At 40.0% G+C, this 13033-nt stretch overlaps 1 protein-coding gene and 1 long non-coding RNA gene across 15 annotated transcripts in view; one reads left to right on the plus strand and one right to left on the minus strand.

Annotated features, from left to right (window-relative positions):
• The window catches only part of LOC107984015 (uncharacterized), a 49066-nt gene that overhangs the window by 27635 nt on the left and 8398 nt on the right, over positions 1-13033 (minus strand). The window lies entirely within an intron of this gene.
• The window catches only part of PHACTR1 (phosphatase and actin regulator 1), a 571071-nt gene that overhangs the window by 6085 nt on the left and 551953 nt on the right, over positions 1-13033 (plus strand). The gene's annotated exons all lie outside the window — the stretch shown is intronic.

A 13033-nucleotide genomic window follows, 5' to 3' on the forward strand; every position in this document is an offset into this window, starting at 1 on the left:
ATCCTAACACGAAGGGAGTTCTGCGGAAGTCCCCTTTAACTGAAAAGGAGAACTCCAGAGGTTAGAGATACACATGGCTTCAAATATCATGTCTTGGCATCACATAATTTGAGCTCATCTGTGTTTCAGGTTTCTGACAATGCTACCCCACACACTCAACTTCAGACTCTGTAATTTTGTAGTGAACAATTGAACTTGAAGAGAAGACATATTATAAAATCACAAAATTAACATCATGAGATTTTTAGGTTAAAATGGACATTATAGGCCAGGGACTGTCTTAGGTCTCTTCCTAAGCCAAGAGAAACAGACCCTGGGAGGGCCAGCCCCAGGCTCCAGTGCCATTTTTTCAACTAGCCCATGGGTTTTTATGATGAATACTGGAGCTTGAGAACCACCATTATGGATCGTCAGTCACTTGCTACCCAGAGTGTGATCCCAGACTGACAGCACCAGCTTCATTCATTCGTCTGGGGCTTGTTAGGAATGTAGCATCTCAGGCCCCACCCTAGACCTAGAGAATCAGAATCTGCATTTTAACAAAATCTCCAGGTAATTTATATTAAAGTTTGAGAAGCAACAGTTGAATTCAGTGCACATTACAAACACCACCTGGAATCCTTGTTTTGGCCTTTTCTTTTTTTTTTTTTTTTTGAGAGAGAGAGAGGGGTCTGGCTCTGTCATCTCAGGCTAAAGTACAGTGACAGGATCATAGCTCACTGCAGCCTCAAACGCCTGGGCTCAAGCAATCCTCCAGCCTCATTCTCCCAAGTACCTGTAGGCACATGCCACCATGCCTGGCTAATTTCTTAAGTTTTACAGACAGAATCTTGCTATGTTTCCCAGGCTGGTCTTAAACTCCTGGCCTCAAGCAGTCCTCCCACCTCAGCCTCCCAAAATGCTGGGATTATAGGCCACACCTGGGAGATTTCACAACCTAAATGCTAGAGTCCACTATGGACCAATTAAATCAGAATCTCTGGGGATAAGCCCCACACACGGTAATCTTTTAAACTGCCCCCACGAGATTCAAATGTGGAGCCAGGGCTGACAACTACTGACCTTTGTTTCATAGTAAAAGGTTTCAGCATCATGCAGCTATTCTTCCCCGAATAACTTTCTCTATCTAGGTCTTCCACTTTAAATGAATTTGAACCATGGGGAAGATGCAAATGGACTTTTAAAAAGCACTATGGGCTGGCGCAGTGGCTCACACCTGTAATCCCAGCACTTTGGGAGGCCAAGGCAGGCAGATCGCCTGAGGTCAGGAGTTCGAGACCAATCTAGCCAACATGGTGAAACCTGTCCCTACTAAAAATACGAAAGTTAGCTGGGTGTGGTGGTGGGCACCTGTAATCCCAGCTACTCAGGAGACTGAGGCAGGAGAATCACTTGGACCCAGGAGGCAGAGGTTGCAGTGAACCGAGATCGCACCATTGCACTCCAGCCTGGGTGACAGAGCGAGACTCCATCTCAAAAAATAAATAAATATATAAAAATAAAAATAAAAATGACTTTGTATCAAGGGCTGCCCCTTGTATATTCATTGTATCTGTTAACCCTCAAAGGAACTTTGGGAAGCGGGAATCCTATGCTCATGTTGCAGACTAGAAAACCGAAGACTGATGAGGTGAAGTATCTTGAAAGGGCTGTACATTTAGACAACAGCAGAGTCAGAGTTTTCATTCAAACATATCCATCTCCAAAGCCCAAGCTATTTTGTTTAAGCTGTCTCATGCTGCTTGCCAGGCAGAGGCAACCTCTCATCTAGTTAGACTGATCAAATCAACCCCGCAGATCAGCAAAGGTAACTTCCCTGACCAAACCACACTTCCAGGGATGGTCAAGCTGTGGCTCAGAGTCATTCTGCTGGGAACTCAAATCACACAGCTTAAAAGAGGACAGCAGAGACAGAACCAGATATCATTTTATCACATCCATACCCTGTCCACTGTGTGAGGTTTCTTTTCTCAAAAACCATCAATATACTCGGACATTCAAATTACCTTCTAAAGGGAAAATACATTAAAAGGCAGCCAAATGACAAAAGTCACTAGGCAATCCTAGTGACTCCTGCTAATGATTTCCCCTCTTTTATCATTTAAAATAACACTCGGCATTAGAACCAGGCTCAGTCGTCACTGTTACTTGTCATAATGCACCTTTTCTGTCATCTACATTGTCTTGTTCAAAAAAGGGAAATGCCAGTTTTGACAACTGATGAATGCCACAGTGAGCAGCTAAGAGTCTCTTTAAGTTGTTTTTGGAAATACAGAGGAATTCATCCAAACCCCGTCTCTCCCCTCACGCCTCCACCCACCTCCACTCTTTGCCCACTCTGTGAAATCGGTCAGAGCAGCTGACTTTTGAGTCTTCAGCTTTGAGTTAAATATACTCTAAACCTGACTCTAAACCTCTAGGACTTCAAACATGGCCCCAAGAGACAAAGACATTTGGTAGCACTCCATTAGTTCAAAATCAGGAACAGTAGTAACAAACACAAAACATGCTCATACTATTTCCTTTGCTGTGCTTACAGGGAGACCCAGCCCCATTGTCACCTCCCCTGTGAAGCTTTGCTTAACTTTCCCAGGCCTTCCTCCCATTGCCTATACTACAGCTGTTCACGCCTACACTACAGCCATTGTCATCATCTATGATTCTGCCTCCACCACCTGCTAGATGCATGAGCTCATATAAATGGCTTTACTTCTTTAAACCTCAGATTCCTCATCAAAATAGATATAATGCTAGCTCTGAATCCGCAGGAGACTTTGGGAATTAAGTGAGGTATGCCTATAAAGTGTCTAGTACCTTGTCTATTGTTATTGATTAGTTATTGATACTCTTGTTTTACGATTACTTAAGTGTCTGTGACTTACCTCAATCACAGTGATCTCCTTAAATAGCATCTTCTTGGTGCTTAATATCATCCTTCTTATACAGTAGAAGCACTAACATTTATTAAATGTCTCTATTGAACTGATGGGGTGAGAATGCTTAAATCTACACTATAAAAAGAATTTTTAAAAAAATTTTTATATTTTTAACATTTTTATGGGTACATAGTATAAAGATACATTTTAGACTCCAGGAAAGGGTGTGATTATTCAAGATTTAGAAAATAGAACCTCCTAACACTTTTAAAGAATTAAAATCTTTAGTTGAAAATGGAGCCTGCATAAGACTGAAGGGAAGGACATGCAAAAATAATATTCAAATACATAGAGATATAGGCAATGGAAGCAAGTCATCAACTCTGCTGTATCTCATATAAGAAGAAATTAAACAAAAGTAAGAATATACAGCAGGGAAATTTAGGTCTATTATTGAAAAAAATCAATCTTTTAAAATAGACTTCCAGGGATCCCTGAGTAGTATTCTTCTGAAAAGGGCTTTTTGATATAGAATAGTCTGGGATGATGGAGTTTTCATTCTGCCTAAAAGCAGAATTATGGAATAGGCAAACACCCAACTCTTACTACGGTGAGCTTAATTGAGCTGAGTTTAAAAGCTGCTCTGAACATGTCCAGAAAGCCAGCTCTGAGCTGCACCTTGAGATCCCCTTTTCCCTTCCTTCTTAGATGTTTACTGTCCTGTTTTTATACTTTTTGGCTGATTAATCCTCAAACTAGTTACCATCCCACTCACGCTTCTAACCAGACTCGAAGGAAGGCGGGTGTAGACACCCACCTAAAACCACACACTGGAAACACACACGTTGAGAACCACTCACTGGAAGCCTGGCCATGGTGTTTTAGGAGTCTTGCACAGTGGAAATCAGGTTGTCTTCTTCCTCCATGCCTGTCTCCTGAGCCCTTCATGTCATGACCTTACATATGGCTCATATCTGGACCTACAGGTCTGATTTGCTTCAGAAGGACTGGGGCAGGAACAGTGCTTGCAAGTCAACCCAATCCTCATCTGGACACGATTAAACAACTAGGTTATAACTTTTTCCATTCTCCCTTCTAATGTCCTCCCACCTGCCCCTCAGAGTCCTGCCAGGTAATATCCTGTATTTTTGTTGGTTTGCTATCCAAATAGTTGATATGTAATCATACTGTTTTCCAGACCTTTGTCTCTGAGAAGTGCTTCAGATGAGAATTTATTTTTTATTGTTTCCAGTCTTGGTGCTTGAGGCATCACCCTCAACAAATACTTGTTGTTTTATTTTGTTTTTGCTTTTATTTGTTGTTGTTATTGTTTTTCTCCATCACCCTAGTCAGGAAGCAGTATATGGCACTTCACACACAACTGACAAACTACCTACCATGCCTACCCTCCTAACTGCCCACTCATTCCATTTCAGACCTCTAATTGCTCACACCCAGGCTTTCCAAACCTGTGTTTAATACAGGGAACATGATGGGTGAAAAAGACAGTGAAGGCAGATCGAGAGAAAAAGTATCGTGGAGCTAGCCAACCTGTCAACTCCAACAGATACATAGATGACCATTGAATCCAACCCTCCTGTTCTGGAGTGTGCCCTGGGAACAGGACAATTCTCCGTAGGCAAAGTCTCATTCTTGGTGCTCACAGTTTAACTGTACACAGCCTTTCAATGCTCTTAGTGCCTTTGCCCCTAGCAAGGATCTGCTTTGCCATGTATTGTGATCCAGGACTCATACATAAAGTAGGGCATGGGGATGAGAGGAAGAGGGAGAGAAAATGAGAGAACGAGAGCCAGAGAAGAAGAAAATGATGTGAAAATGCAATGAACTAATTTCAATCAATTAATCATTCCTGCTCTCACATACCACACATGAGAGGCAGCCCACACTCACCCAGCGCCAGCCATGACCCAGTTAGCATAAACAATTCACCAGGTGCTAGGGAAATCATTCTCACTCCTCATTTGCCCAAACAAATCTGTTTTCTCAAAAATGTTGGTACCACCCTTTGTGCCTGTGCTAGCAGAAGAAAGGATAGGGAGCCTAACACTTCAAAATCAGCCCACGCCAATATCATTTTTAATATTTTTAAGAATTTCTCAGTAAGCAGTTGGACATACACACTTATGCAAAACCATGGAATGAATATTTGTCTTAAATTGGACTTCTGAAATACTAGGACTCAACAAAGTTATCTTCAAGATCTATATATCCTTTTTCAATCATAAAAGCAAAGCAAGGGGAGTGTTAATGCCTTTGGCCAAAAGGGGAAAAAAAATGAGAGGGCCAGGCACAGTGGCTCACACCTGTAATTCCAGCACTTTGGGAGGCCGAGGCTGGTGGATGGTTTGAGGCCAGGAGTTAGAGACTAGCCTGGGCAAAATAACAAGATGCCATCTCTACAAAAAATATATATATTTTTAATTAGCTAGGCATGGTAGTGGACACCTGTAGTCCCAGCTACTCAGGAGGCTGAGGCGGGCGGATTGCTTGAACCCTGGACTTCCAGGTTGTAGTGAGCTGTGATCATGCCACTGCACCAGCCTGGGCAATGGAGCGAGATTCTGTCTTTAAAAAAATCAAGAAGAATAAAATCAACCCTACACAACTATTTAATTTTTTTGTATTTACTTTTAATTTCTTTCACGTACCTTTGGAATTTTATAAGGTTATATTTATATTTATATTTATAAAACTGGGGGTATGAATAAGATAGTTTCCCATATTAGCTTAAAAATATCATAGTGTTTAGGACTTGAGCTTTAGAATTGCACAGCTCTGAGTTCAAAGGATGATTTTCACTTCCTAGCTTGTAACTTTAGGCAAGTTATTTAATCTCTCTCTGCCTCACCTTTCCCTTTTGAATGCAAATGACAGTAATAAGAATTCTTAACCCAACAGGTTATTTTGAGGATTAAATGAACCATAGTTTCACAAACTGTGGTATGATATATAATTTTCAGGTAATATGTAACTCTTTCATAATAATCATGTATTTATTTTATGGTGTTTTAGAAAAACATAAATAGAAAAACTAATTAAAATATAAGAATATATAGCCAGCACTGCACACTTACAGACCACTGCTTAGAGCAAGCAGTACAAGAAAAATAGGCTGATTAAGTCCATTTAAGGAGTAATATTAAGTAAATAATAGGCTAGATGGCACTCAGCTACAGCAAAATACATAAAAAGTCATATAGGAATGACTAAAGTTTAGAAACACACAAATATAAAGCACGAAGCAAGACGTCAAGCACCTGATACATGTTTAATGAATGTATCCGTTCTTATGTTAATTATGCTTTAATTTTGTCAAGCCTCAGAGGAAATAGGCAGGGCTTCTGCTTCCCAAGAGAGACCCCCACCCGCCCCATCACTTCTTTTCTCTGATGCCATTTCTTTCCGATTCAAATTTCTAAGCCCTTTGGAGACACGAAACAGCCTTAAAACACAAGAACAAGAACAAGCAGCACAACTTTGATTTTAAAATAAAATTACTAACAAATTCCAAAAGTATCCTCTGTATCATTCTGCCTCTGGGTAACATTAGCTAAACTGTATTGATTTCCTCTGAAATCAGAGCAAACTCTACAGTTTATCATCGATGCAGCTTTGTTTCTAAGTTGGCTTCAAGGTGAGATGACAATTCACTTGCATTTGAGGGAGGATAAAAAAGAATACTCTGGGCTGTGTGAAGTGGCCTGTGACAAGGCATGAACAGGCATGGGAAGAGGGTGATCCATCTGGAGAACTGCACGTGTTAGACTCTGCCTAGGCTGACAGGTTATACTGTAGAGGTGGAGAATGGCGTAAGAGAAGACTAGAACAGCAGGCAGGGGTCATGGCACGTGAGGCTGTGCCATGCCAGACCAAGGAATCCCAAAGCTGATACTGAATCCACTAAAGCAGCGAATACAGAGGAGATGTTATCAGGTCTGCTTTTATAGAGATCATTAACATACAGGACACACTGGGGAGGAAGACCAGAGGCAAGGAGAGGCATCAGGAGGCTATTGCAGTGACTCAAACAAGAAGAAAGCCTAAAGAGGGAACTGACTGAGAGAATTCAAAAGGGGAGAGGATTCTAGAAATATTAAGAAGATTTTTTTCCTGATTATGCGGTGACAAAGTAGGTAGACAGAGAGTGAGAGAGAGGTTCTTTGAATGCTTCCCACATGTTGTATTTGGGCCTGCTCGGTGAATGATGCAACCCTTCCCTGAGAGGGAGAATACAGGAGGATGACCAAGATGAAGGTAGGAAAAAGAAACTCCATTTAAAGCATATTGAGTTTGGAGATCCTATGGAACAGCCAAGCCTAGATTATCAGTATGGAATAAGTTCCATGGATCTAAAGCTTGGTATGGAGATCTTGGAAAACCACCCAAAATATTCTATATTCCTTGGTAACTCCTAAAATAATTTCACTAACATGTTTTACATTGGCCTCTGAATATGTGGTTCTACTGGGCCTTTTATTTTCCTTTCACATTATTTAGAAGATTGGGAGATTGTTTATAAAAACATATTTTCTAAATGAAAAGTTTCTTCTATAAATACAAAATTTTCTTCCTAGCACCAGTACTTACAATTAATACTCTATTTGAAATATTTACATGAGCCAAATGTTTGAAGTCACTAAGATTATTGCAAATTCTGGCTTGTATTTTTATAATAAGCAAAATTCTCAGTTAACACTTATAAGGTCATTTAAAAAAACACACGTGATTTAAAAAAAAAAAAAACCTCAATGCAGCTCAATCATTGTATATAACTATAGCTTGTTCTAAAATGCTGCAAAGGAAGAGGAAAAAGGGAATTCAGTTAGAGCTGGTTAAAAATAGACCTTCCTTTTTAAAAACATTTATTTTAAGTTCAGGGATACATGTGCAGGTTTGTTACATAGGTAAACTTGTGTCATGAGGGTTTGTTGTACAGATTATTTCATTACCCAGGTATTAAGCCTAGTACCCATTTGTTATTTTTCCTGACCCTCTCCCTCCTCCCACCCTCCGGCCTCCAATAGGCCCCAGTGTGTGTTGTTCCCCTTTATGTGCCCATGTGTTCTCATCATTTAGCTCCCACTTATAAGTGAGAACATTTGGTATTTGTTGCTGCATTAGTTTGGTAAGGATAATGGCCTCTAGCTCCATCTATGTCCTTGCAAAGGACATGATCTTGCTCTTTCTTATGGCTGTGGTACATATACACCATGGAATATTATGCAGAATATTACCTTTTTTATTTATTTATTTATTTATTTATTTATTTATTTATTTATTTATTTGAGATGGAGTCTTGCTCTGTTGCCCAGGCTGGAGTGCAGTGGCACGATATTGTCTCACTGCAACCTCTGCCTCCTGGGTTCAAGCAATTCTCCTGCCTCAGCCTCCTGAGTAGCTGGGATTACAGGTGCCCGCCACCATGCCTGGCTAATTTTTGTATTTTCAGTAGAGATGGGGTTTCACCATGTTGGCCAGGCTGGTCTTGAACTCCTGACCTCGTGATCCACCCGCCTTGGCTTCCCAAAGTGCTGGGATTACAGGTGTGAGCCACCATGCCCGGCCATATTACCTTTTTAAAACCCATGCAGTAATATATTCTGTTTCATTTAGTTGATTATGCACTGTTTGGTGACTAAATTTGACAGGTGACAGGCAGAGAAGAAACTACTTGGCTTAGCCCAATTGAATTCTTGTCTCTGAAAAGCTAGACCACATTCCAAACATCACACTGCAAGAGATATTTTTACATTAGCCTTATATCTGATGCTAGCTTAATAATCTGGACATGTACACTGAAATTGCAAAAGAAAATGAGAGTAAGCAGACTCAGACTATGTGCCAAGGGCTTTGTATTTATTATCTCATTTTATCTATAAAAAGGAAATTTATTGGGCACATGATATTGACCCCATTTTAGAGATGAAGTAATCTATGTTTCTAATAATCAAGTGACTTCCCAAGGTCACAGCTACTAGTAATGGAGCCAGAATTATAATCTTGAGCTTTTGGATTCTTCCCACTGCAACTGGTGGTCCTATGTTATCTTGGCGACCATGGAAATACGAGCAAAGACATCCATGTACGGGCATGTGGGGATGGACAGATGCTCACATGTCGCCACACATTCAAAGGTAGAATGTCTCAATGTTGTGCGATACAAATGTGGCAATGGAGCCATTTTATGTCATTATACTCAGGTTCAACTTCTTAAAGGAAAGTTTTACCTTTTTTTTTTTTTTTATTTGGGAAACTATCAAAATGGAATGATGGGGCCTCTGACCCTTATACTGAGTTGCAGAATATGTGATTTGCTTGGAGTTCCTGGGAGGTGGGGGAGGAGGGAAACCTGCCCGAGTCTCCACGGGAGTGTCTTACGATACACATAACTTGTTTTTCCCTCTCACTACCAATGCAACATATAGTAATTATAGAAAAATTTAAAATATATAGGCAAACAACAAAACAAAACTCAACTAGCCCCATCATCTAAAAATAGGTATTCTTTACAACCTGGTGAATATTCTTATATTCTTTTTACACACATGGGCACACACAGATTTTTTTTGGGGGTGCTGTTTAAGACATTTTCATTATTTATTTATTTTTCTTTAGTTCTTCTAAAAAATGGGGTACATGTGCAGAACGTGCAGGTTTGTTACATAGGTATACGTGTGTCATGGCGGTTTGCTGCACCTATTGACCCATCCTCTAAGTTCCCTTCCCTCACCCCTCACCCCAAAACAGGCCCTGGTGTGTGTTGTTCCCCTCCCTGTGTCCACGTGTTCTCATTGTTCAACTCTCACTCATGAGTAAGAACGTACAGTGTTTGGTTTTCTGTTCTTGTGTTAGTTTGCTGAGGATGATGGCTTCCAGCTTCATCCATGTCCCTGCAAAGGACATGATATCATTCCTTTTTATGGCTGTGTAGTATTCCATGGCACACACAGATTTTTCTAACTTAAATCAAGCTCCTCAGATTTATTGCTTTTAATTTTTCTATGTCTGAATTTAAACAATAAAATAATTCTTTTTACCTTGAAGTAGTTCATTCTAACTGAATTATGAAATAATCAGACACAGTTTGGGCTCTGATGGAAAGGTCAACCATGCTTTGCTTTTTCCCAACGGGTGACTTTGCCAGCTGGGTTGATGTCCCTGGATCTGTTCTGCCATTATTTACTAGACAGAGTCTCTGACTAATACCTCGTGATCTAATCACTGTCATCAGCCCATCTGTAGACACAACAGAATGCAAATAAAATATCTATGTAATCTATATTGGGTGGTTCTTCCTTCTTAGACTCATACATTTAGAAATTTTTATGTTCTTTCCCCTCCACAAACACAATATTTCTTCTCCTTATTGTAGATAGATGCATTTTATTATGCATCACCAGCAAATGCCCCAATGTTTCATTTAACAGGATATTTGTAATGTTTCATTTAACCGTGTAATTACTACAATAATAGGACATCAGAGCTGGAAGGTACTTAATTTAATTAGCTCATTTTACAGGTGGTAAAACTGAGGCTTAGGGAAGACAGGAAAAGCAAACACTGTTTATTAAATACCTAACATATAACAGAAACTATGCATATTTGTTTCATTTGAAACTACAAACCTATGAGTTAGATATTATTGCCCCCAATTTATAAGAAACTAAACCTCAGAATGATCAAAAACTGACCGAATACCACACAACCATGAAGAGGTGAAGCCAGGATTCAAACATGAGTCTTTCTGGCTTCACAGCTTTCCCCTACAACATCCTGCCTTTCTGGAGAGAAATAGCTTAGCTAAACCAGATGGAGGTAGATGGTAGCACAGCAGGAGCCAGAACCCAGTTTCTCAATGTCTCATCTGTGCCCATATCTCTACATCCTGTTGTCTTCTTGTATATGGGGCTCAAATAGGATTAAAGCCCCTGCAGCCTTTGCCTCTGAAGTTATTTTGCAAGTAACCAAGCTCAAGAGTTTGCCACGCAAAGATATGTCCAAGTATATATCACTTGTGTGTACACTGAATATGAATTAGAAATACTAGAACCTTTAGATTTCAAAAGATGCCATTAATTACAGCAACTATATTGAAAATCAGCCACGTGGAAGATATAAAATCAAAATATATGAGTCTTAATGTTACCTGTACTATCAAGTAAGATTGGAAAAGTTACTTCTATATCTAAACGAGGAACGCTCAACATTCAAATAATAGAAATCTGCTTGGGTCTCTGCCCAACTCAGTTCAACATACAAAGCCTGAAGCACATTTTCTTTTTCTGCATCTAGCGTGATTCAGCAGCCAGCCCCCAGCCCCTCTGCACAGTGTCTACTTTAAGAAACTGGGAGGAAAGGAAGCAACGAACATTTGTTTCCCGCCTACCATTTGTCAGGCTCTATGTTAGGTGTTTTGCATTTATTACATAATGTTTTATCCTCCCAAGGCCCAGTGAGAGCGTTTATTTTATTTCTAGTTTACATATAAGGAAACCAAAGCTTGGAGAGCTCACTAACTTTTTTACAAGGTCTAATAAGCTTGGGAATTATGCCAAGGTTTAATTTCTCAGCCACAGTCTTGCTTGGAGCTCGCTAGTAATAATAGTCTTAACATAATAAATGTTTATCAGGAATTTCCTTTGCCAAATACTGCTTGAATTATATGCCTGAATCCTTGTAATGGCCCCAACTTGTGGGTACTATGTTAGTCCCATCTTATAGATGTGTAAGAGGTAAGTGACCTGCATGAAATCATGTAACTATTAAGTATGTCATTTGGACACAAACTCAGGAAGGCTAACCTCAAAGATTGTACTGTGAACCATTACTTCCTATTGTCTGGAAGAAAAATAATATCCACATTATTTTGTTAATATATTCATACAAGTGAAAATTATAAAGTACCACAAGGTGAGCAGAGACAAAGGAAGAGAAAGTTACTGTAGTCTCATGGTGGTACTGGAGACAGGAATAAAAACATTTCAGCCACAGAGGATGGGCGGAGTTTAGATATGTTAAGATGGGGAGAAGGAAAAGAAAGGTTTTCCACTGGAAAGATTTGTGCTGTCATTTAATTTTTGTTTTCTGTCTTAAAATTTGCTAATAGTTCAATCAAACTGGTTAAGATTTCAGTTTTCTGATAGACATAGATAGTATTAGGCATTAACAATTGATGCTCTGAGTCCATTGTGAACCCACAGTTATTACTTTTCTATTGCTGCGTATCAAATTACCCCAAAATTTAGTGACTTAAAACAACAAACACACTATCTGACAGTTTCTGTGGGTCAAGAATTAAGGAGAGTCTTAGCTGGGCTGTTGGGGTTTAGGGTCTGAGGTGACAGTCACGAGGTTGGCTGGGGCTGTAGTTAGCTGAAAATTTAACTGAGGCTTTCAAGGTGGCTCATGCCCATGACATCTAGCAGGAGGCTTTGATGCCTTGCTACATGAGCCTCTCCATAGGCTGCTGGTGTGTCTCCATCACGTTGCAACTGACCTTCCCCAAAGCAAGATCCCAAAGAGGAAGCAAGGCAGAAGCCACAAGACATTTTATGACCTAACCTCAGAAGTGATATACTATCACTTATAGCATATTCTTGTGGTCACAGAGACCAAGCCTAATTCAGTGTAGGAAGTGACTACACAAGGGCATGAGTGCCAAGAGTCGGGGTTCATCAAGGGCCATTTTGGAAGCTGGCTACCACAATACAAACGTTTTTACAGGGGCAGGACAATTTCAAAAGAAAGAGGGAGCATAGCTCATACACCTAAACAGTTTTTGTTAATATGTCTCACATCATCAAGTGGTTTCAAAATTAGGCACAATATTGCATAATTATGTAGGCTCTCAGGGAGAGAAGTCACCATACCAATGTTAGGGTAGCTATTGAATTGTCTTTCATTCATGTATATACAGGCAATAAGAAAAGCTAGGTATTCACACTTTAAAGAAGAGTTAGAGCAAAGTCAATATTAGACCCATATTGTTACAGGAAACAGGGCTGGCTTCCATCTCTTTGGGAGCTACATCCTTCAAGGTATGGCTGTACAAGTTGTGGACTTGATTCTTCCTATGAAGTGAATGATGTATCCCTGAAGCTGTGCAACATTAAAGACCTAAGTTGGGGCCCAGAGGA

This window comes from Homo sapiens, chromosome 6 (genome assembly GCF_000001405.40).
Source record: "Homo sapiens chromosome 6, GRCh38.p14 Primary Assembly".
Taxonomy (NCBI): domain Eukaryota; kingdom Metazoa; phylum Chordata; class Mammalia; order Primates; family Hominidae; genus Homo; species Homo sapiens.